Here is a 23,041-nt window from a genome sequence, read left to right on the forward strand (position 1 = left end):
TAGCTGGGTGTGGTGGTGCATGTCTGTAGTCCCAGCTACTAGGGAGGCTGAGGCAGGAGGATCACCTGAGCCTAGGAGGCAGAGGTTGCAGTGAGCTGAGATCACGCTACTGTACTCCAGCCTGGGCAACAGAGCAAGACACTGTCTCAAAAATAATAATAATAAAATTAAATAAATAAAAAAGATTTATTGCCAATGTTCTTTCCTAAGTTTTTGCTATCACAATCTAAACGTCCATCGAAAGGAAAAAAGGTATATAAATTACAGTATGTGTATGAAGGCTGAAGTAGCAGCTCTGTAAGTACTGACAGTACTCAAGATAGAAAACACACAACATGTAAACTGTGTGGACAGCATGCAGTCCTTAAAAACAAACAAACAAAAAAACCCCAAAAAACAAAAAACAACGAAAACCCAAAGACCTATATGCTCCCATCAACACATACTACCCTCTGGAAGGTTACCCCAGAGACTGGAGACCATGACTGTTTCTGGGGAGAGGCGCTTCGGGATGCAGGACAGGCTGGGGGGTCTTATTTGCACAGTAAGAATTCTGTACCATGTGCACATATTAGCTATTCAAAAAATAACTTTTAGGCATGGTGGCTTACGCCTATAATCCCAGCACTTTGTGAGGCCAAGGTATGTAGATCACTTGAGGTTAGGAATTTGAGACCAGCCTGGCCAACATGGTGAAACCCCGTCTCTACTAATATTACACATGCAAAAAATTAGCTGGGCATGGTAGCTCATGCCTGTAATCCCAGCTACTCTGGAGGCTGAGGCAGAAGAATTGCTCGAACCCAGAGTTGGAGGTTGCAGTGAGCCAAAATCGCGCCACTGCACTCCAGTCTGGGCGACAGGGCGAGACTCTGTCTCAAAACCAAACAAAAAATAATGTGAAAGGGTATATAAAGAACGTTCCCTGACATTACACTAAAACCACACTCTAACACTATTTTATTGTGGAGAGAAATTTCATCTGCAGCAAATCCACTGTGGATCTCAAGCTTTGGGATTCAGTTACTGAAACACCAGAAGGGCACCCTTCTAAGGTAGCCCCTGTGTGGAAGCTGATCCTATCATCTGATGACCTGCCTGTCTAAAAGGGTCCCTTGGCAAGAACTGTATTTCCGAGGCACCCACACAACCAACCATGTCATCACAAGGGGACACAACAAAGGAGGAAGGCATTTTCTAAACATCTAGTAGTTAAGAAGGATGTATATAGAAAGAATTATGATGGTTATATCTGATATAACTATATGGCACTTTGCAAGCTAGAAGTCTTTTTTGTAAACTTGCTTTTGTGGAAAATTTCAAGCACATACAAAGTAGAAAGAATAGTACAACGAAGTCTCATGTTCCCACCTCAGTTAAAAGCTTTTACACAGAAAACTAAACTATGCTATGATGACAGTTGAATCAATTTCTGGTACTGATACCACGTTCTTTGTGTGGTAATGGGGAAGAACACGTTCACATTTATGTCTCACTTGAAGCAGGCAAAGGCCACACTATCATTCTACAGCTGAGTGTTCAGAAATCCCAGGGAGTTGCTCAATGTCACACACCACCTGAAAAAGCCAGTTCTAAAGTCTGAAGACCCAGCTCCGAGGTAACGTCCCTTCCCCATCCGCCTTCATAGGATCACAGGCTTCACAGCCAGACAGACCTGGGTGCAAAAATCACTGTTATCCACTGCCTGGGAGGTTGGAAAAATCCATGGTCACTGAGAATGCTTCTGCAGCTACAAAATGGGAATGAGAATGACTCTATTTTGGACTAACACTTTTTCAATAAGAAAGCAGAGTAACAAAGAGCTACAGAAGTAAGGAGACAATTTTGCTTGGGGTGGAGGGAAATCTCCCCAGGCACACTGGAGCCACATCTCAAAGGAGACAAAAAAGTTTACAAAGCAAAGGAAGAGGGTTTCTAGACTGTAGACCACAACAAAATATATTTGGGATGGTGACCAGCCCAGTTTGGCTGGTGACTAAGATACATGTAAAGGTACCTTGTTGAATAAATGAACAGATGAGTGGGAGACAGAAGATTAACTGAGATTTAAAAGGTTCTTTAACACCTACAATCTCAAGGCTGGGGGTGGGGGAAGTGATACTGCCGCAACAAGTATCAGGACACCCTGCACAGAAAACACTTGCAATATCAATCTGAAATTTCTCACCTAGGAAATTCATCTTAGCTTGCTGAGTTAAAAGAAATTATTATTTTTTAAAAACTTCCTAGCATTAGCTGGGTGCAGTGGGTCATGCCTGTAATCCCAGCACTTTGGGAGGCCAAAGCAGGTGGATCGCTTGACCCTAGGGAGTTTGACACCAGCCTGGGCAATATGGCAAAACCCTGTCTCTATTAAAGCAAACCAAAAAAACCTGCCTAGCATGAGGGCTAAACATTTTGCTATATTATAATCATAGCAGCAAGATTGCTTCTGGGAATTATTTTAAATTAACAAAACCCAGAACGACGGCTCTTTATACCCTGAGATTTGCTTTTCCAGAACATTTCAGGGGATGAACTGGAGGCAGGGCAGTTGGGTAAAAACATGCTAGTTCAGGGGTCAGTATGTGCACAACTGCAAGGGGTGCCAGGCACGGGCACCTTGCGGGCCCTACTCTTGCCTCCGATGCATCGCCGCCTCTCTGGCCAATGCTAATGAGCTAAGCTGCTCAAGTTATTGTGCACCACCCTTCCTTAATTGGCACATGAGACCAAATCACAGCTTATTTCCAAACTAAATGACTGGATTTCGTCACAGAAACTCAAAAGACTTGGGATGACAGAGAAAAAGCCCTTAGAGGTTATCTCTTCCTTCCTTAGGCCTTAACGTTGTTACCAATATTGCTTGACTAAAAAATGTCACCTTGCACAATCCCTCTTCCCCAAAAGAACCTATACACCTTGGCATTAAGACAGGAAAATTTCCTGAAGGCAATTTCTGTTTTTTTTTTGTTTTACACTTAGCACAATATCTTTGCACATAGTACATAATCATAAATCTACTTGCTGAACAATACTAAATAACAAATATAGATTTTTTTTTTTTTTGAGACAGGGTCTCACTCTGTTGCCCAGGCTGGAGTGCAGCTGCACGATTATAGCTCACTGCAGCTTTGACCTCCCAGGCTCAGGCGAACCTCCCATCTCAGCCTCTCTAATAGCTGGGACTGTGCCACCTCACCCAGCTAATTTTTATATTTTTTGTAGAGACGGGGTTTCACCATGTTGCCCAGGCTAGTCTCAAGCAATCCGCCTGCCTCATCCTCCCAAAGTGCTAGGATTACAGGTATGCATCACGATGTCCCACCTCAAAGATAGTATTTTTAACAAACCAAATTACCCGTAACATAATTTAACATTCTTCTGTGCCAAAAAGTGTTTACTTCTGTTTTTTTGTTTGTTTTGTTTCATTTTTTCAAATTTCTGTGTTCCTCTTATCACCTTGTCAAAATAATAATAAAAGGAAAAAAGTTCTGACTTGGTCAACAGCTTTAAAATTCTTCTGGATGACATGAGTCTAGTGTACTATTTCTCCTCTCAAGACAACTATTTAAAGTAGATTTCAACATTCTCTTGAAGGAGATGGCAGTTACTGAAATATTTAAAGTAGTGGATTAGATTTCTGTTCTAGAAAACTAATTTAGGCAGCAAGAAATCATTTTAAAGTTCCAGAAAGAGAATACTATAAACTTCCAGGTTTTCTTTTCCCCACTAACTAACTGCAACACTCTACTTTTTTTCCCTCCTCTCTGGAGAATTTCTGGTCAAATCTTTAAGGTTCAGCGTAAGCTCAACTTAAGGCTTTTCAGCACCATCTGCCTCTTAGATACCTCTTTTTGCACACCTACTATAATTTATTTATAGGTCTCCCTCACTAGACAAGTATTACCTGTTCTTATTTGTTTTTGTAGCCCTAGCATGAAGCAGTGACGGCCCATAAAAAGGCTGCTACGTGAATGAATCAATCTGAAAAACTGGCTCATCTTTTAGTGCTATAGTTAAAATGGCCCAATAAGGAGAATTCCCAATAAAGAGATTCCCTAGCAGGTGAATTTGGTGAATTCATCAATATGAATGTAAATATCATGGAAATCTGAAGCCATTATGCAAAACAAACGTTTTTATGGTTGGTTAGAGTGAGTTAGGAGGACCCCAACGTAAGTGCAATATTATGTTTTGGACAATTTGTCTTGCTCAAAAATATTTTGTATTTTTGAATATAATACTATATTCAATGTTAATGTAACTTGACAATGTTAAGAACTCTTTTGCAATTTTCCCAAATGCATTGCTTTATCTCAGACCTTCTGCCACTCAGAATGTCCTATAGCCTACTCACCTCTACCGCACACAACACACCTTCCCCATCGACTTTAACTTGTCCTTCAAAACTCAACCTCGGCCAGGTGTGGTGGCTCACACCTTCAATCCCAGCATTCTGGGAGGCCGGGGCAGAAGGACAGCTTGAGTCCAGGAATTCAGAAGCAGCCGGGCAACACACGGAGACCCCATCTCTACAAAACATTTAAAAAATTAGCCAGGTGTGGCAGCATGCACCTGTAGTCCCAGCTACGCAGAAGGCTAAGGTTGGAGGATTGCTTGATCCCTAAAGGGCAAAGCTACAGCGAGCTATGATGGTGCCATTGCACTCCAGCCTGGGCAACAGACTGAGACACTTGTCTCTAAAAAAAAAAAAAAAACAAAAACAAAACCCCAAAACCAACCAAAAAACCCTCAACCTTTCTGGGAAGTGTCCTAGCTAATCCCACCCTCTGTGAGGCTATGAGGTGCCATTTGTCTTCCTATAGCACCAAAATACATTTTATTTTATTTTTGAGACAGAGTCTTGCTCTGTCACCCAGAGCTGTAGTGCAGTGGTGCAATCTCGGCTCACTGCAACCTCTGCCTCCCAGGTTCAAACTATTCTCATGTCTCAGCCTCCCGAGTAGCTGAGACTACAGACACTTGCCTCAACGTTGGCTCATTTTTTTTTTTTTTTTGTATTTTTAGTAGAGACGGGGTTTTTGCCATGTTGGCCAGGCCAGTCTCGAACTCCTGACCTCACGTGATCCACCCGCCTCAGCCTACCAAAGTGCTGGGATTACAGGTGTGAGCTACTGCGCCCGACCCCAAAATACATTTTAAATTCAAATCTAAATTTTTCGATCATTTGTGAGAGTGTAGCATTACAGAGCATCAAGAATTTATTATCCATTCATAAAAGACTATTTAACCTGCTCTGCAAATACAAACTGCACACCCCTCTCAACATGTGAACTCTCTAGAGGTCAGGGATTTCTTTTTTAATTTTATTCTTATACCTCTTATCAATAGGAGGGATTTCTCATACCTCTTTGTAACCTCCCCTGGAGAGTTCAGGGATTTCTTTTTTAATTTTATTCTTATACCTCTTATCAATAGGAGGGATTTCTTATACCTCTTTGTAACCTCCCCTGGAGAGTTCAGGGATTTCTTTTTTAATTTTATTCTTATACCTCTAATCAATAGGAGGGATTTCTTATACCTCTTTGTAACCTCCCCTGCCACCCAACTCTGGCAGATTCCCAAATATAGCTCCAAGCCTTGCCAGTACTTGGCACTCAGTAAATAACTGTTAAAAAATGAAAGTGCCATTCTTAAAAGACCACGCTAAGATTTCAGTTAAAGGATCAGCCTATTTGTTAACAAACATATGTATGTTAATTTAAGGCCAATATCCTGTAAAAGCTTTTGTTGTAGTGCTTTGATGTTTACTAATTTCCACCTACCTTGGTCAAGCTTACTTTGATACTTTTGCAATACCTGCATTAAATCCCTTTCCTTAGACAGGTGTGGTGGCTTACACTCCCAGCACTGTGGGAGGCCAAGACAGGCAGATCACTTGAGCTGAGGAGTTCGAGAACAGCCTGACCAACATGGCAAAACCCCATCTTTACAAAAAATACAAAAATTAGCCAGACACGGTGGCGTGCACTTGTAGTCCCAGCTACCTGGGAGGCTGAGGTGAGAGGATCACTTGAGTCCAGGATGCAGAGGTTGCAATGAGCCAAGATCATGCCACTGCACTCCAGCCTGGGTGACAGAGCAAGACCTTGCCTCAAAAACAAAACAAAACAAAACAAAAGCAAACCCTTTTCTTTATGCTTCCTAAGCACCTGTGCATACTGGAATTATATGAGGTCCAAACCATATTGTCTGGAAAGTTCTGTGTATCACTCCTACTAGACCTCTCAAGGCCTACACCTCTCATGGGCAGGCCTGTGTCCTAGGCATTTCTATCCCTCAGGAGGTATAATACTTAACCCAAAGTGGCTGCTGAATATATGTCTGCTAAAGTAAACAGAATTGACTTTGGGCAACAGCAACAGTCCTTACAGTTGTTCAGACAAAAAAATTCCAGTCACATTTTTTTTAGAGCCACAATAAAATACTGATTTAAATCCCAAAAGCATCTTGTACTGGATTCTAGTAGAGACGAGCAATAGGTTTCAGAAAAACTGGAGACATTCTCCTGAGGCTTGGGAAGAGACTACTAGTATTTTTTTTTTTTTTTTTTTTTTTGAGACAGGGTCTCACTCTGTCACCCAGGCTAGAGTACAGTGGCACAATCTCGGCTTACTGCAACCTCTGCCTCCCAGGTTCAAGCGATTCTCCTGCCTCAGCCTCCTGAGTAACTAGGACTACAGGCACACACCACCATGCCCGGCTAATTTTTGCATTTTTAGTAGAGACAGGGTTTCACCATGTTGGCCAGGCTGGTCTCAATTTCTTGACCTCATGATCCACCAGCATCGGCCTCCTGATGTGCTGGGGATTACAGGCATGAGCCAACGCACTCGGCCTAGTATTCAATTTTACAGGCAGGCCACCTCTACCTATTTCACAGAAAACCAGTGTTACACAGAACAGTGAGAACCACTGAATCAGTGGTCTTTCCTGGCTCTAGTCACACTGACTAAATACAGAAACCTAAGTCTGAGCTGTCTTCAAGGCTGTCTGTACACAGTCACCTTGTGAATTAATTCCATTCTCAAAAAGTTATACCCAATGTGGCCAAATTCTGTAAGGGTCTTTTCATTTCTGCAGTCACGACTATAGTACTGGCCCTTATATTTCTACTTAGACTAGCCCCACAGTCTAAGTGGATTCTGTTTCCAGCTTTTGCTCTGTTTAATCCATGTATCACACTGCTACCAAACTAATTTCCCTTTAATCAGTGCTTCAAAATGTTGGATAATTTTGTCGGCCTCTCCCCTACTCTCTAAACATTTGGCAATATCTGGAGACATCTTTGATTGTCAGAAGTGGAATTTAGTGGGTGGAGGCCAGGGATGCAGCTAAGATATCCTAAATGCACAGGGCAACCCCCGCCCCAACACACACAGACACATACATGGGGTGAGGGGGGTATGAACAGGGAGGGAGAGGGAGAGGAGGGGGAGAGGGAGAGAGAACAAAGAATTATCTGGCCCTAGATTACTAGATTACTGTGTCGTCTCTGGCTAATCTTTTAAACTCCTTGAGCATCAGTTTCCTCATCTGTATGTACTCCGTGATCAAATACCTTCCTTAAAGGCTGTTGGGAAGAGTGAGTCACTCTATGCAGAACACTGAGCTGTGTGGGCTGTGTCTGCAGACTGGACACTTCACACATCTTTAAATTGTTTCGTTGGTCTTTTCTCTCAAACAGAATTATTCTCTCACTAAAAAGGCTAGAATGGACACCGATAATGGGAAGAGAAGCTCCGAAGAAGTGGATTTCTCATGAACATCATGGTTGTTTTTCTGGCCCTGGATAAATTACATGTCAATAACATAAGCAGGCAAGGTTGCTGACCCATGGTTACAACAAGTGCTATTAGCCCAAAAAGGAGTTTCTTAATGCTATTATCAAAAAATGCAGTAAGTAGATTTGGAAAACTGTAGGCTGATGAACCTGCTATTTGAAAAAAAGTCTACATTAAGACGGGTGTATAAGAACCCAGCATCAGAGAATCAATGGCACACTAACCTTTTTTCTTTGACAGAACTACTAAAGCAGGGAACACTGTTGATAGTATGTATGTGGAGTGCTATGTCAAATCTGACAGGACCTTTCATGACATTCTTGTGCAAACGCAGCCTGGGTACCGTGACAATAGATTTGTAATCACTGGAATAACCGCACTGAACGTAGTGCCTAGCCCAGTGCCACCACATGGACATCTGCTCTCATTCCCATGCCCTCCTTTCTGCTGCGACTGAGGAACTGTCCTTGGACCGCCTGTGACCAAGCCTCCAGTGTTCTGGACTCAGCCTTCTTGCCTTCTGGAAGACTCTCGCAGATCACTCCCACACAATTTCAAACACACCCTACCAACTCTGTCCCACCAACCCATACTCCCACAGTTTCTGCCCATTCCTCTGCATCTCCCTCAGTCTTCAATCTTCTTGAAAGAGTTGTCCTAACAGTCCTTACTTCTTCTCAACAGTCTCTCAACTGACTACCTTTCCCATCACTTCACAAAATAGGCAAATCCAAGGTTATTTTTCTGTCCTCACTTCACTGTTAGGACCTGAACTTGCATTCAGGAAGCCAAAACAGAGCAAAAAACAGAAGTATAGGAAAAAGAATGTCTGACTTAGTAGCAGTGGAAACTGAAAACAAAAACCAAAACTAACCACATTAAGCTGAGAATGAGTCAACTAGTTGTGTGATGCATAAAGTGATGTTATCTTACATAACAGAGTATGTTCACTCTCTGTGTACTGGTCGTTATTTTACCCGGAACTTAGTTTCAAGGACATTTTGCAAAATAAGACTTAAACTATGACTACTGCCTGAAGATACAACCTGCTGCCCTAGGGAATGGTATGTGTAGGAAGGGTTGCCTGGCAAATAGCAAGGTCTTTTTTGTCTTTTTTCCTTGAGGTCTTGCTCTGTCGCCCAGGCTGGAGTGCAGTGGCACAATCACAGCTCACTACAGTCTCGATCTCCTGGGCTCAAGTGATTCTCCCATCTCAGCTCCTGAGTGCCTGAGACTACGGGCGGGCGCCACCACGTCCACGCGATTTTAAGAAATTTTTGCAGATATGGGGTCTATGTTGGCCAGGCTGGTCTCACACTCCTGGCCTCAAACGATCCTCCCACCTCGGCCTCCCAAAGTGCTGGGATTACAGGCGTGAGCCACTGTGCCCGGCCCCAAGGTCTTTTCTTGAATGAATACAGTAATTTTAAAATTTTGATCGTAACTCAAGACTCAGGAAATCTGACTGGCAGTACAGCCAGTGTTATAACCCTAAATTTAGCAAGTCAGAAAGCACAGGTCAAGGCTTACTGACTCAGTCAGATGCAGGTTTTCTGACTCAGTTTAGAATATTCAGACATGATTCAAGAAAGTGAAGAAACCAGAGTGCCAACGAGCCATCACTTTATGTTGGTGAAGGGACAACCGATCGTGGGGCGCGCTGGGGGAAGAGTTTGGATTCCTACTCACCCCTCCGACTTTGGGAAGCGGTGAATGGAAAAGAGGCCCATGATTAGGAATCATGAGATTTCCTCACCTGTTAGAACCACAAGCCTCCTTCTGTGGATTTTAACGTCTTTAGTACTCCCTTCACCTCATCGATCAAAGGCGAAGATCACATCTTGTCCGCAGACTTACCTCCCTCCCAACAGCGATCGGGGAGCCGCACCGAGCAAACGAGGGCTTCCCTGAAAGTTCCAACAGCCAGAGGCCTGAGAGCCGTGCCAGGCCCGCTTCGCGGCCTGCGGTTCAGGGCCAACCCTGAAGACCCCAGCCTCGGCTGCCGCGAAGTCCCCCTCCCGTCCTCGCGCCCCGGCCTGCTCACCCGCGTGAGACATGGGCAAGGTGATGTTCCCGTAGCGCTCCTCATTGTAGAGGACGACGGCCGAGGCGTTCCTCCGCGCCGCCACCAGCACCTTGTCCTTGAAGGTGCAGCCCCCACGAGCCACCAGGGCGACCCAGGGCGCGGCCCCTCGGCCGCCGGGCTCGGGCACGAAGAAGCGCGTGTCGGGCGCGCAGCCCTCGAGGTCTCCGCCGGGCGCCCACGGGACGCCCACCAGGCCATGCGCGCCCTCCTTGGGCGAGCTGTCGCCGAAGCGGCCACTCTCCGAGACGCTCCACACCGTCAGGTTGGTCTGCGGGTCCACGTACTCGATGTTTACCACGGCCGAGAACCACTCGAGAGCCCGGCCCCGGGCCCCGGGCACGCACAGGGCCAGGGCGAGCAACGCCAGAGCCAACACGCCGCGAGCCCCGACGCTGGCTTCGCGCCGCCGCCACGCCATGGCAGCACCGCTGAGCTGACTAGGGGGAGTCAGGGTCACGCGCGAGTGCGGTGCAGTCGAAGAGCAGAGAGAAGCGGACACCCACCGCCGCCCTGGAAGACTGAGGCGGGGTCGGGGCCGCTGCGCACGCGCACCTGGCGGAGTGGACGAAGGGCGTGATCGGCCCTGGCTCCGCCCCCGTCCGACCGGCCGCGTTGTGCGCAGGCGTAAGCTCCGCGGAGCCTCGGACCGCGATCCGTCCCGGGATCTCAGGCGCCTGTGGGCCGAGGCGGGGCGCGCAGCCTGTACCACAGCTTGCGCCACGGCGGACCCTGTGGCCAGGGGCCAAGTTTGCGCAATAGGACGTCTAGCACCCCCAAAGTGAAGGGAAGTAACTCCAGAGAAACGGGAAGCTTCCCTGAAAGCAGGTGTGGGACCGCAGTTCTGTAAAATCGCTGAACAGATGTTTGTGGAGAGTTTATTGTGCAAGGCACATGGCAGAGGCCTTGTCTAAGTCGTTTCAAAGTTAATTAGCCAAGCCTGGTGGCGCCCAACTAGAGTTCCCACTCGGGAGGTCGAGGTGGGAGGACCACCTGAGCCCCGGAGGTCGAGGCTGCAGTGAGCCGAGATCACCACTCCACTTCAGCCTGGGCGACTAAGCGAAACCCTGTCAATTAAGAAAAAAAAAAAATCCAAATACATTTTGTGAAAAAAAAAAAAAAAAATCCAAAGCTACGCACACATTATCCAACTGCCTTTTGCTACTAATATTATGATGCTAATTGATTCCTTACAGCTTAAGTATATTTACAACAGCCCTTTTTGTTATAGTATTTTATGCATAATCTATAATTTTGAAATAGGCATAAGCATACAACATAAGTGCTCATTTAAGTAGTCTGATGCCTACTACTGATGACATACAATGTAAGTGCTCATTTAGGCGTCAGACTACCTAAATGAGCACTTACGTTTCATGTCAATAAAAAAGGGAAAAGGATTTATTGTTTGGACATCAATACCCAGTGATAGAGAATCCATATAAAATTACTATTGAGTACAAAAGCCTACTGCTTTCAGAAAGGAAGTTCAGAACATTGATTTCTGATAGACTCATCTTCCTGCGTTAAGGGTCTATAACTGTGGGAAGTAGGTTGTTACTGCCTGCATCACGTGTTTTTTGTTTTGTTTTGTTTTGACGGAGTCTTGCTCTGTCGCCCAGGCTGGAGTGCAGTGGCGCGATCTTGGCTAACTGCAACTTCTGCCTCCCAGGTTCAAGCGATTCTCCTGCCTCAAGCTCCGGAGTAGCTGGGATTACAGGCGTGCACCACCCAGCTAATTTTTGTATTTTTAGTAGAAACAGGGTTTCGCCATGTTGGCCAGGCTGGTCTTGAGCTCCTGACCACAGCCTCCCAAAGTGCTGGGATTACAGGCGTGAGGCTGTGCGACCGGCCTGCACCACGTGTTTTTTGTTGGTCCTTAAACCCTCTCCATTTCCTCTTTGTTGCTGTCTCTGTGCTCCAAAATGCAGTCTGACCCACAACCCGTAAGTTTTCCATGAAGATGGATCTCCTCTCCTTTCCCATCAGGAAACTGAATTTTAAAAGGCCCAAAGGGCCTCAGGCTTAAATTATCGTGGTCTATGCAGGCTGAGAACGGGTTTTAGGAACGCCTCCACCGCCACCCTTTATGCTCCAGCAAAACAAATACTGAAGTTCCCAAAAACGTGTCCTTGCAGTTTCATGTTAGGTCTTGCAAATTCATTTACTTCTTTCTCCCATGACCTGCTCCTGGCTCTTGTTCCAGCAAACACTAAGTTAGTCTTCAAGTGTTAACTCAAAAGCTATTTTTTTGGTGAAACCCGTCTTGGGTAACTATGGGCAAACTTGGGTGCTCCTCCAGTTGTCCATGTTGCTTGTATGTATTACGTTTGTACATTCATGCTGTACCAGCAATACTGCTTTCCAAGTTTTGGGCCTTCTTTTAATGTTGTGAACTTTGCAAGGGCTGGGATTGTGTCCTCGGTCTTTTCATGAGCCTACCTCAACTAGCACAGTGATGTATGTGTAATTGATAATTTCTGAAATAGGCAGAATAGGTTTTTTTTGTTTTTTGTTTTTACTGTGCCAGAGTTGAGTACTCAGGATTGGTTACAGGCTTGTTGAGCAAAGTCCGGCAGGCTAATAGGAACAGACCTTGCAGCTGTTGAGCTCTTAAGTTTAGCACAGTTCCTTGGTCTTTATTTTTTATTACTAGCTCCAGGCCTCAGTTGGTTTTCCCTGATCAAAAGTTGCCACCACTACCTCAAACTTCCAGGACCTTCTTTCCCTACACTGGCTGCCAGGGGCCACCCAGTCTCGTTAATTTCCCTTTCCCTTCCGTATTGCCCCAGAAGAAAAACTAACAAGCCTTCCCCCTCACTCTTTGGTGGGGGGAGGGAGAGAAAGGGGGCGAGAGTTGTCATTATCATTTCTTTTAATCACTTTATTGTAGAAACTTTCAGATACTTTCAAAAGTAGAGAGAACAGTATAATGAAACGTTATGCACTTGTAACTTAGATTCAACAATGATCTGTAACCATAATAGGTCTATTGCCTGAAACACATGGTGAGTCAACACACTGATACACCAGATTGCAGCAGAGAGAGGTTTAATTGTAGAGCTGCTGAACGAGGAGATGGGAGAAACCTCAAATCCATCTCCCAGAGGAGTTTGGGACTAGGGTTCGTAAGAGTTTTGGAGTGGGCTAAAGTGTGGAGATCATTGATTGGTTGAAGAGTGCAGGGTAAAATCATGGGATAGGGAGCTGAAGAAATTGTATTCTCATGATGATTCTGTTCCTCTGTGGGGGTCTTCAGATTGGTTGGCATCATCTGTTTTACTGGAATTAGAGATCTCAAAAACATCATACACAATTCTTAAAAGCCTTCTGACGCTAATGTTAGAAGTCCTATCAATAGGAAGAATGGGTCTACAAACAGTCAGTGTCTACTGCCACATGACTTGTGGTTACAAGGAAGTGGGTCAAAGTGCAGCCTGATTACTGCTTACCTATAACTATTTTTCTATCCAGAATTCTTGTTAACCCTGTGAAGATGGCTTCAGATCAACTCACAGCTAATTTGATTTCAAGTATATACCTGGCCACTTCCTATCTCCTCCAATGGATTGCTTTGAACGTGTGAAATTAAATAATTCAAACTTAAAGCTGTTGGAACTTGAAAGTATTCTGAGCCTTGAGAGCGATGTCGCTGTGCAACCTGAGTCACATGGCATGCAGCTGCAACTTCTGCCTTTTTTCCTGTAAGTAATTGGAAAGGCCAAGCAGCACCAGAGATAGGACCCCCACAGATTTTTACCCCTCTTCACAGAGTAGTAAAGTAAATTAATAAATAAATCCTCCTTGGAATGTAGCAATCAAATATTTGTAGTTATCAAATAACTATAACATATGCACTGGTCTGATATGGAAAATATTGTAATCCTGCTAAAACTTCTCTGTCTCTACCTATACAAGTAAAATCTTAACTTTCCTACTTTGGAACACTGACCCTGCTCATTTGGACTCTGTGTTTCTGGATGGCCATCCTCAAGCTTTGCACTTGAATTATAGAATTTTCTATAATTAACTATATGTTCTGAATCTCATGAGTTAAGGTTGACAAAGGAAATCCAAGATATTATATAATTTTATTTGTAAACATTTTAATGTATACCTTTAAAGCATAGGGACTCTGTAAAAACATGAAAGCACAATATTATTATCACATTAAAAAATGTGACCACAGTTCTTTAATATCATTGAATATCCAGTCAGCACACGAATTTCCCGATTGTCTCCTGAATGTTATTTTACATTTAGTTTGTTTGGATCAAGATTCACACATTGCATTTGGTTGAAATGTCTCTCAAGTTTCCTTTATTTATAGGTTTTTTTTCTTTTCAGTTTTTAAAGGAAGAAATTTGATGATTTGTCCTGTATAATTTCCCACATTCTGTATTTGGCTCATTACATCCTCATGCTGAACACAGTATTACCTATGAGTGTCAACGAGGGTTTCCTTCATAATACGCAAAAACAGCCTCCAATAAAGAAGCACTGTAGAGGGCAAGGCTGATATAGAATGGCACATGTCATTCACAACCTCCAACTGAAGAATTTTGTATTCATCAAAATGGCTTGTTGTCTTATTTATTGACCTTGTAATACACGTAGTGGGGAAGATTCTCAGTCTACAGTCTCAGGTGTACAAGAATTCTCCAGTTCCGTATTCTTTTGGGTGGTGGTATATTTTGTTGTTGTTTCCACTGTGTTGCCCAGGCTGGACTGCAATGGCTATTCACAGGTGCAATCATAGTGCACTACAGCCTCAAATTCCTGGGCTCAAGTAATCCTCCTGTCCCAGCCTCCCAAGTAGCTGGGACTACAAGCCATCATGCCCACCTTGTTTTTAATAAAAATAAATTGATCTGTGGGATACATCCTATGATGGGTGTCTCAGTCAGTATAGGGGCCCCTCAAATGGTGGTAGCCCCCATGGGGTCCAGAGGCCAGGGCTGGGGGTTTCGGCAGGGGCTTCTGGTTAGCAGCCCCAGTTAACACATTGCCACTCCCACTGTCTATGCACTGTTTCACGGCCTGTTGTGGGTGGCATGGGGCAGGAAAAGGCTTTGCTGGGCTGGGATCCTGAGTGCCACCTCACCCGAAATTGTAACACCCCCTCGGGTGCAACCCTGGAGCCTCACATGTACAGGGGGCTTACTCCCTCTCTTGTTTCTTCTCCCCAAAGGTGAGTGCACCCCTCCACCTCTGGAATCCTTCCTCTAACCTGATGGTTTTCACACTTTAATGTGCATACTCATGGCCTGAAGAACTTGTTAAAAAAAGGTTGTTCAACCTCACCCCCAGAGATTCTGATTCCAGAGGTCCGGTGGGCCCATTTGTTCCCACTGCTAATGAGCTCACAGGCCCCTTAGAGGAGTCTCCTTTCTATAATACTGTCTGTGCCCTCTTCAGAGGGTGGAAGAGCCTTAGAACCGCTTTTGCTGTCCACTCTGCACACCTTCCTGGGTCAGAGGAACATCAAACCTGGCACCTGCTCGAACTGGCTGTGGGATGATATGGGAATAGAGGGGAGAACAAACAAATTAGTATTTCAAAATAAATATCACTAATTGGAAATTAGGCTCTACTAATAAAACATCACTTATCTGATTTATATGTAGACTGTATACATACTGGCATTTTGTTGAAATTGGGAAGAAAAAAGTTTCTAAGGAGACTTAAAACCCATTTTCCTGGACAGGGGGCCTTCATGATGACAGGGACTGTGGCTTTTAGATTTGTCTACCCAGATAAGCATAGGGTTGCATGAATGATAACTTATTGAAATATTAAATCACACATTTCACCTTCATAGAACTCACCTGTGTATGAAAAAAGACTCGGTCTTACGTAATTGCTAATAGTGGTCATTTTGGATGTTGATACTGCTCTGAGTGAAAATTTTTCTGAATTTAGTTTTATTTTATTATAAATTTAAAAAATTGGCCAGACATGGTGGCTTACACCTGGAATTCCAACACTTTAGGAGGCTGAAAGAGGAGAATCATGTGAGGTCAGGAGTTTGAAACCAGCCTGGGCAACACAAGGAAACCCCATCTCTACAAAAATAATTTTTTTTTTTTTGAGACAGAGTCTCGCTCTGTCGCCAAGCCGGAGTGCAGTGGTGGATCTTGGCCCACTGCAACCTCTGCCTCCAGGGTTCAAGCGATTCTCCTGCCTCAGCCTCCCAAGTAGCTGGGACTACAGGTGCCTACCACCAAACCCAGCTAATTTTTGTATTTTTAGTAGAGACGGGGTTTCACCGTGTTTCCAGGATGGTCTTGATCTCTTGACCTCGTGATCCACCTGCCTCAGCCTCCCAAAGTGCTGGAATTACAGGCGTGAGCCACCATGCCTGACCCAAAAATATTTTAAAAAATTAGCTAGATGTTGTGCTGTGTGCCTGTAGCCCCAGTTATTTAGGAGGTGAGGCAGGACGATTGCTTGAGCCCAGTAGGTGAAGGCTGCAGCGAGCTATGGTCATGCTGCTATACTCCAGTCTGGGTGACAAAGCAAGACCCTGTCTCTAAAAAAATTAAAACACAAATTATTTTCTGTATTTCAGACATTTTCTCTAATGCACTTACATGATTTTATTGCTGATAAAATAAATATTACAATCCTAGCCAGGCATGATGGCTCATGCCTGTAATCCCAGCACTTTGGGAGGCCAAGGCGGGCGGATCATTTGAGGTCAGGAGTTTGAGACCAGCCTGGCCAACATGGTGAAACCCCATATCTATTAAATATATAAAAATTACCTCGGCGTGATGGCACACACCTGTAATCCCAGCTACTCAGGAGGCTGAGGTAGGAGAATTGCCTGACCTGGGAGGTGGAAGTTGTGGTGAGCCCAGATCATGCCACTGTGCACTCTAGCCTGGGGGACAGAGTGAGACTCTGTCCAAAAAGAAAATTACAATCCTAAGGAAAACCTGGAAAGGTCTACAAAATTTTTGTTCTGTTTGGGGTAGTAGGTGTATACTCAGGGAGGGTTATAGGGTAAGGGACACTTGGAGGTACAAAGAATGGATCTTTTCTAAGCTATTTTGGAGAGTGTGTGAAAGGCACCAGGCATGTGACCTCCCAGATGGATTGGCAGAGAGGCCCCAAAGTGGACTTCTACCGGCTTATATTCAAACCAGAAAATCTAGGGGTGCCTCCTGAGAAGCAGGAGTCTCCCCAGGCTCATCTAGGTCTCCAGTGGCCTAGATGAGTATGGCCAGGCTCTAATATGGGTCAGGAGTGCCTGCAGTCCTCTCAACTTTTTAATCTCTGTTTGAAATGAGTACTAATGGAAGAGCCTGTAAATACGGTATGAAAGCACCTAAGGGGGTAATTTGATAATGTTGCTCATTAGGCCATAAACTGGAACATTATCAAACATCCTTTCCAGGGGTTAAATCAAACTATAATCAGACCCAGGCCTGGGCAGCCCTTTACACAGTAGCCTGTTTTTTGTTTATTTGTTTACATCTTTAGTTTTCTGAACACTAGCAGCATTAAAAAAGTGAAGAAAACCAGATTCCATTGTCCACCAGTTCTCTATGATGAATTTTTCAGGAAGAAAACGTCTGCAGCCATTCCTGGGCATTCCTGCAAGTCCGTGGTGCCAATTCCAGCATCTTCCAGTGGATGTGTCAAGTAGTCTGTGATAGACTAGGTTTTTGCAGTCCAAGAGACCTACAAGATAAGCCACATATATAATTTAGAATGTTTGAGTAGCCACATTAAAAAAAAGAACAGAGGAGGAACAAAAGGCAGCAGAAACTTCTGCAGACTTAAATGTCCCTGTCTGACAGCTTTGAAGAGAGTAGTGGTTCTCCCAGCATGGAGTTTGAGATCTGAGAATGGACAGACTGCCTCCTCAAGTTGGTCCCTGACCCCCAAGTAGCCTAACTGGGAGGCACCTCCCAGTAGGGGCCAACTGACACCTCATACGGCCAGATGCCCCTCTGAAAAGAAGCTTCCAAAGGAAGGATCAGGCAGCAACATTTGCCATTCTGTAATATTTGCTGTTCTGCAGCCTCCATTGGTGATACCCAGGGAAACAGGGTCTGGAGTGCACCTCCAGCAAACTCCAACAGACCTGCAGCTGAGGGTCCTGACTGTTAGAAGGAAAACTAACAAACAGAAAGGACATCCACACCAAAACCCCATCTGTACGTCACCATCATCAAAGACCAAAGGTAGATAAAACCACAAAGATGATGAGAAACCAGAGCAGAAAAGATGAAAATTCTAAAAATCAGAGTGCCTCTTCTCCTCCAAAGGAACGCAGCTCCTTGCCAGCAACAGAACAAAGCTGGACGGAGAATGACTTTGATGAGTTGAGAGAAGGCTTCAGACGATCAGTAATAACAAACTTCTCCAAGCTAAAGGAGGATGTTCAAACCCATCGCAAAGAAGCTAAAAACCTTGAGAAAAGATTAGACGAATGGCTAACTAGAATAAACAGCATAGAGAAGACCTTAAATGACCTGATGGAGCTGAAAACCATGGCACGAGAACTATGTGACGCATGCACAAGCTTCAGTAGCTGATTCAACCAAGTGGAAAAAAGAGTATCAGTGACTGAAGATCAAATGAATGAAATGAAGTGAGAAGAGAAGTTTAGAGAAAAAAGAGTAAAAAGAAATGAACAAAGCCTCCAAGAAATATGGGACTATGCGAAAAGATCAAATCTACGTCTGATTGGTATACCTGAAAGTGATGGGGAGAATGGAACCAAGTTGGAAAACACTCTGCAGGATATTATCCAGGAGAACTTCCCCAAACTACCAAGGCAGGCCAACATTCAAATTCAGGAAATACAGAGAATACCAAAAAGATACTCCTCGAGAAGAGCAACTCTAAGACATGTAATTGTCAGATTCACTGAAGTTGAAATGAAGGAAAAAATGTTAAGGGCAGCCAGAGAGAAAGGTCGGGTTACCCACAAAGGGAAGCCCATTAGACTAACAGCGGATCACTCAGCAGAAACCCTACAAGCCAGAAGAGAGTGGGGGCCAGTATTCAACATTCTTAAAGAAAAGAATTTTCAACCCAGAATTTCATATCCAGCCAAACTAAGCTTCATAAGTGAAGGAGGAATAAAATCCTTTCCAGACAAGCAAATGCTGAGAGATTTTTGTCACCACCAGGCCTGCCTTACAAGAGCTCCTGAAGGAGGCACTAAACATGGAAAGGAAAAACTAGTACCAGCCACTGCAAAAACATGCCAAATTGTAAAGACCATCGATGCTAGGAAGAAACTGCATCAACTAACGAGCAAAATAACCAGCTAACATCATAATGACAGGATCAAATTCACACATAACAATATTAACCTTAAATGTAAATGAGCTAAATGCTCCAATTAAAAGACACAGACTGGCAAATTGGATAAAGAGTCAAGACCTATCAGTGTGCTGTATTCAGGAGACCCATCTCATGTGCAGAGACACACATAGGCTCAAAATAAAGGGATGGAGGAAGATCTACCAAGCAAACAGAAAACAAAAAAAAGCAGGGTTTGCAATCCTAGTCTCTGATAAAACAGACTTTAAACCAACAAAGATCAAAAGAGACAAAGAAGGCCATTACATAATGGTAAAGGGATCAATTCAACATGAAGAGCTAACTCTCCGAAATATATATGCACCCAATACAGGAGCACCCAGATTCACAAAGCAAGTCCTTAGAGACCTACAAAGAGACTTAGACTCCCACACAATAATAATGGGAGACTTTAACACCCCACTCTCAACTTTAGACAGATCAACAAGACAGAAAGTTAACAAGGATACCCAGGAATTGAACTCAGCTCTGCACCAAGCGGACCTAAGAGACATCTACAGAACTCTCCAGCCCAAATCAGCAGAATATACATTCTTCTCAGCACCACATCACACTTATTCCAAAATTGACCACATAGTTGGAAGTAAAACACTCCTCAGCAAATATAAAAGAACAGAAATTATAACAAACTGTCTCTCAGACCACAGTGCAATCAAACTAGAACTCAGGATTAAGAAACTCACTCAAAACCGCTCATCTACATGGAAACTGAACAACCTGCTCCTGAATGACTACTGGGTACATAATGAAATGAAGGCAGAAATAAAGATGTTCTTTGAAACCAATGAGAACGAAGACACAACATACCAGAATCTCTGGGACACATTTAAAGCAGTGTATAGAGGGAAATTTATAGCACTAAATGCGCACAAGAGAAAGCAGGAAAGATCTAAAATTGACATCCTAACATCACAATGAAAAGAACTAGAGAAGCAAGAGCGAACACATTCAAAAGCTAGCAGAAGGCAAGAAATAACTAAGATCAGAGCAGAACTGAAGGAGATAGAGACACAAAAAGTCCTTCAAAAAATCAATGAATCCACGAGCTGGTTTTTTGAAAAGATCAACAAAATTGATAGAGCACTAGCAAGACTAATAAAGAAAAAAGAGAGAAGAATCAAATAGAGCAATAAAAAATGATAGAGAGGCTATCACCACCGATCCCACAGAAATACAAACTACCATCAGAGAATACTATAAACACCTCTATGCAAATAAACTAGAAAATCTAGAAGAAATAGATAAATTCCTGGACACATACCCCCTCCCAAGACTAAACCAGGAAGAAGTTGAATCCCTGAATAGACCAATAACAGTCTCTGAAATTGAGGCAATAATTAATAGCCTACCAACCAAAAGAAGTCCAGGACCAGATGGATTCACAGCCGAATCCTACCAGAGGTATAAAGAGGAGCTGGTACCTTTCCTTCTGAAACTATTCCAATCAATAGAAAAAGAGGGACTCCTCCCTAACTCATTTTATGAGGCCACCATCATCTGATACCAAAGCCTGGAAGAGACACAACAACAAAAAAAAGAATTTTAGACCAATATCCCTGATTAACATCGATGCAAAAATCCTCAATAAAATACTGGCAAACCGAATCCAGTAGCACATCAAAAAGCTTATCCACTATGATCAAGTCGGCTTCATCCCTGGGCTGCAAGGCTGGTTCAACATACACAAATCAATAAACGTAATCCAGCATATAAAGAGAACCAAAGACAAAAACCACATGATTATCTCAATAGATGCAGAAAAGGCCTTCAACAAAATTCAACAACACTTCATGCTAAAAACTCTCAATAAACTAGGTATTGATGGGACGTATCTTAAAATAATAAGAGCTATTTATGACAAACCCACAGCCAATATCATACTGAATGGGCAAAAACTGGAAGCATTCCCTTTGAAAAGCAGCACAAGACAGGGATGCCCTCTCTCACCGCTCATATTCAACATAGTGTTGGAAGTTCTGGGCAGGGCAATCAGGCAGGAGAAAGAAATGAAGGGCATTCAATTAAGAAAAGAGGAAGTCAAATTTTCCCTGTTTACAGATGACATGATTGTATATTTAGAAAAGCCCATCGTCTCAGCCCAAAATCTCCTTAAGCTGATAAGCAACTTCAGCAAAGTCTCAGGATACAAAATCAATGTGCAAAAATCACAGGCATTCCTATACACCAATAACAGACAGAGAGCCAAATCATGAGTGAACTCCCATTCACAATTGCTACAAAGAGAATAAAATACCTAGGAATCCAACTTACAAGGGATGTGAAGGACCTCTTCAAGGAGAACTACAAACCACTGCTCAAGGAAATAAGAGAGGAGACAAACAAATGGAAGAACATTCCATGCTCATGGATAGGAAGAATCAATTTCGTGAAAATGGCCATGCTGCCCAAGGTAATTTATAGATTCAATGCCATCCCCATCAAGCTACCAATGACTTTCTTCACAGAACTGGAAAAAACTACTTTAAAGTTCATATGGAACCAAAAAAGAGCCCGCATTGCCAAGACAATCCTAAGCCAAAAGAACAAAGCTGGAGGCATCACACTACCTGACTTCAAACTATACTACAAGGCTACAGTAACCAAAACAGCATAGTACTCATACCAAAACAGAGATATAGACCAATGGAACAGAACAGAGCCCTCAGAAATAACACCACACATCTACAACCATCTGGTCTTTGACAAACCTGACAAAAACAAGCAATGGGGAAAGGATTCCCTATTTAATAAATGGTGCTGGGAAAACTGGCTAGCCATGTGTAGAAAGCTGAAACCGGATCCCTTCCTTACACCTTATACAAAAATTAATTCAAGATGGATTAAAGACTTAAATGCTAGACCTAAAACCATAAAAACCCTAGAAGAAAACCTAGGCAATACCATTCAGGACATAGGCATGGGCAAGGACTTCATGACTGAAACACCAAAAGCAATGGCAACAAAAGCCAAAATGGGATCTAATTAAACTAAAGAGCTTCTGCACAGCAAAAGAAACTACCGTCAGAGTGAACAGGCAACCTACACAATGGGAGAAAATTTTTACAATCTACCCATCTGACAAAGGGCTAATATCCAGAATCCACAGAGAACTTAAACAAATTTGCAAGAAAAAAATCAAACAACCCCATCAGAAAGTGGGCAAAGGATATGAACAGACACTTCTCAAAAGAAGACATTTATGCAGCAAACAGACACATGAAAAAATGCTCATCATCACTGGCCATCAGAGAAATGCAAATCAAAACCACAATGAGATACAATCTCACACCAGTTAGAATGGCGATCATTAAAAAAAGTCAGGAAACAACAGGTGCTGGAGAGGATGTGGAGAAATAGGAACAATTTTACACTGTTGATGGGACTGTAAACTAGTTCAACCATTGTGGAAGACAGTGTGGTGATTCCGCAAGGATCTAGAACTAGAAGTACCATTTGACCCAGCCATCCCATTACTGGGTATATACCCAAAGGATTGTAAATCATGCTGCTATAAAGACACATGCACACGTATGTTTATTGTGGCACTATTCACAATAGCAAAGACTTGGAACCAACCCCAATGTCCATCAATGATAGACTGGATTAAGAAAATGAGGCACATATACACCATGGAATACTATGCAGCCATAAAAAAGGATGAGTTCATGTCCTTTGTAGGGACATGGATAAAGCTGGAAACCATCATTCTGAGCAAACTATCACAAGGACAGAAAACCAAACACCACATGGTCTCACTGATAGGTGGGAATTGAACAATGAGAACACATGGACACAGGGTGGGGAA

At 43.5% G+C, this 23,041-nt stretch overlaps 1 protein-coding gene, 2 long non-coding RNA genes and 1 other non-coding gene across 12 annotated transcripts in view, besides 5 other annotated features; 2 read left to right on the plus strand and 2 right to left on the minus strand.

The window, feature by feature from the left end:
- Positions 1–10,425, minus strand: part of RNF149 (ring finger protein 149) — a 37,483-nt gene extending 27,058 nt beyond the window's left edge. For all 8 annotated transcript variants that reach the window (XR_001738712.3, XR_922908.3, XR_922909.4 and 5 more), the window contains exon 1: positions 9,853–10,425. Coding sequence is in view for 5 of the 8 variants with exons in the window: in XM_005263921.5 (XP_005263978.1) it covers positions 9,853–10,312 (460 nt within the window). In the remaining 3 variants the exon portion in view is untranslated. The remainder of the gene's footprint in view (positions 1–9,852) is intronic.
- LOC124906052 (uncharacterized) lies at positions 138–5,918 on the minus strand. The gene is made up of 2 exons (XR_007087161.1): positions 5,517–5,918; positions 138–5,429 (listed from the first exon to the last, which is right to left on the minus strand). It is a non-coding gene; the product is annotated as an uncharacterized LOC124906052 (long non-coding RNA).
- Positions 8,273–8,372: an enhancer, noted in NCBI's record as "active region_16300". NCBI's record gives its function as "activates an Ori minimal core promoter by ATAC-STARR-seq in GM12878 lymphoblastoid cells {active_cell/tissue: GM12878}" and the evidence as "EXISTENCE:reporter gene assay evidence [ECO:0000049][PMID:35858748]".
- Positions 8,593–8,642: an enhancer, noted in NCBI's record as "active region_16301". NCBI's record gives its function as "activates an Ori minimal core promoter by ATAC-STARR-seq in GM12878 lymphoblastoid cells {active_cell/tissue: GM12878}" and the evidence as "EXISTENCE:reporter gene assay evidence [ECO:0000049][PMID:35858748]".
- Positions 9,849–9,928: a silencer, noted in NCBI's record as "silent region_11823". NCBI's record gives its function as "represses an Ori minimal core promoter by ATAC-STARR-seq in GM12878 lymphoblastoid cells {active_cell/tissue: GM12878}" and the evidence as "EXISTENCE:reporter gene assay evidence [ECO:0000049][PMID:35858748]".
- Positions 9,949–10,108: a silencer, noted in NCBI's record as "silent region_11824". NCBI's record gives its function as "represses an Ori minimal core promoter by ATAC-STARR-seq in GM12878 lymphoblastoid cells {active_cell/tissue: GM12878}" and the evidence as "EXISTENCE:reporter gene assay evidence [ECO:0000049][PMID:35858748]".
- Positions 10,149–10,598: a silencer, noted in NCBI's record as "silent region_11825". NCBI's record gives its function as "represses an Ori minimal core promoter by ATAC-STARR-seq in GM12878 lymphoblastoid cells {active_cell/tissue: GM12878}" and the evidence as "EXISTENCE:reporter gene assay evidence [ECO:0000049][PMID:35858748]".
- On the plus strand, positions 10,492–14,468 carry LOC105373512 (uncharacterized). 2 transcript variants are annotated; one of them, XR_923109.4, is made up of 3 exons: positions 10,492–10,719; positions 13,366–13,595; positions 14,239–14,468. It is a non-coding gene; the product is annotated as an uncharacterized LOC105373512 (long non-coding RNA). The 2 variants fall into 2 exon arrangements; XR_007087159.1 differs by lacking the exon at positions 14,239–14,468 and having other exon boundaries at positions 10,504–10,719; positions 13,366–13,714.
- MIR5696 (microRNA 5696) lies at positions 11,174–11,258 on the plus strand. Its single transcript, NR_049881.1, has one exon. It is a non-coding gene; the product is annotated as a microRNA 5696 (primary transcript).
- Positions 14,469–23,041: the final 8,573 nt, after the last annotated feature.

The sequence above is a fragment of the Homo sapiens genome, chromosome 2 (assembly GCF_000001405.40).
Source record: "Homo sapiens chromosome 2, GRCh38.p14 Primary Assembly".
Taxonomy (NCBI): Eukaryota; Metazoa; Chordata; class Mammalia; order Primates; family Hominidae; genus Homo; species Homo sapiens.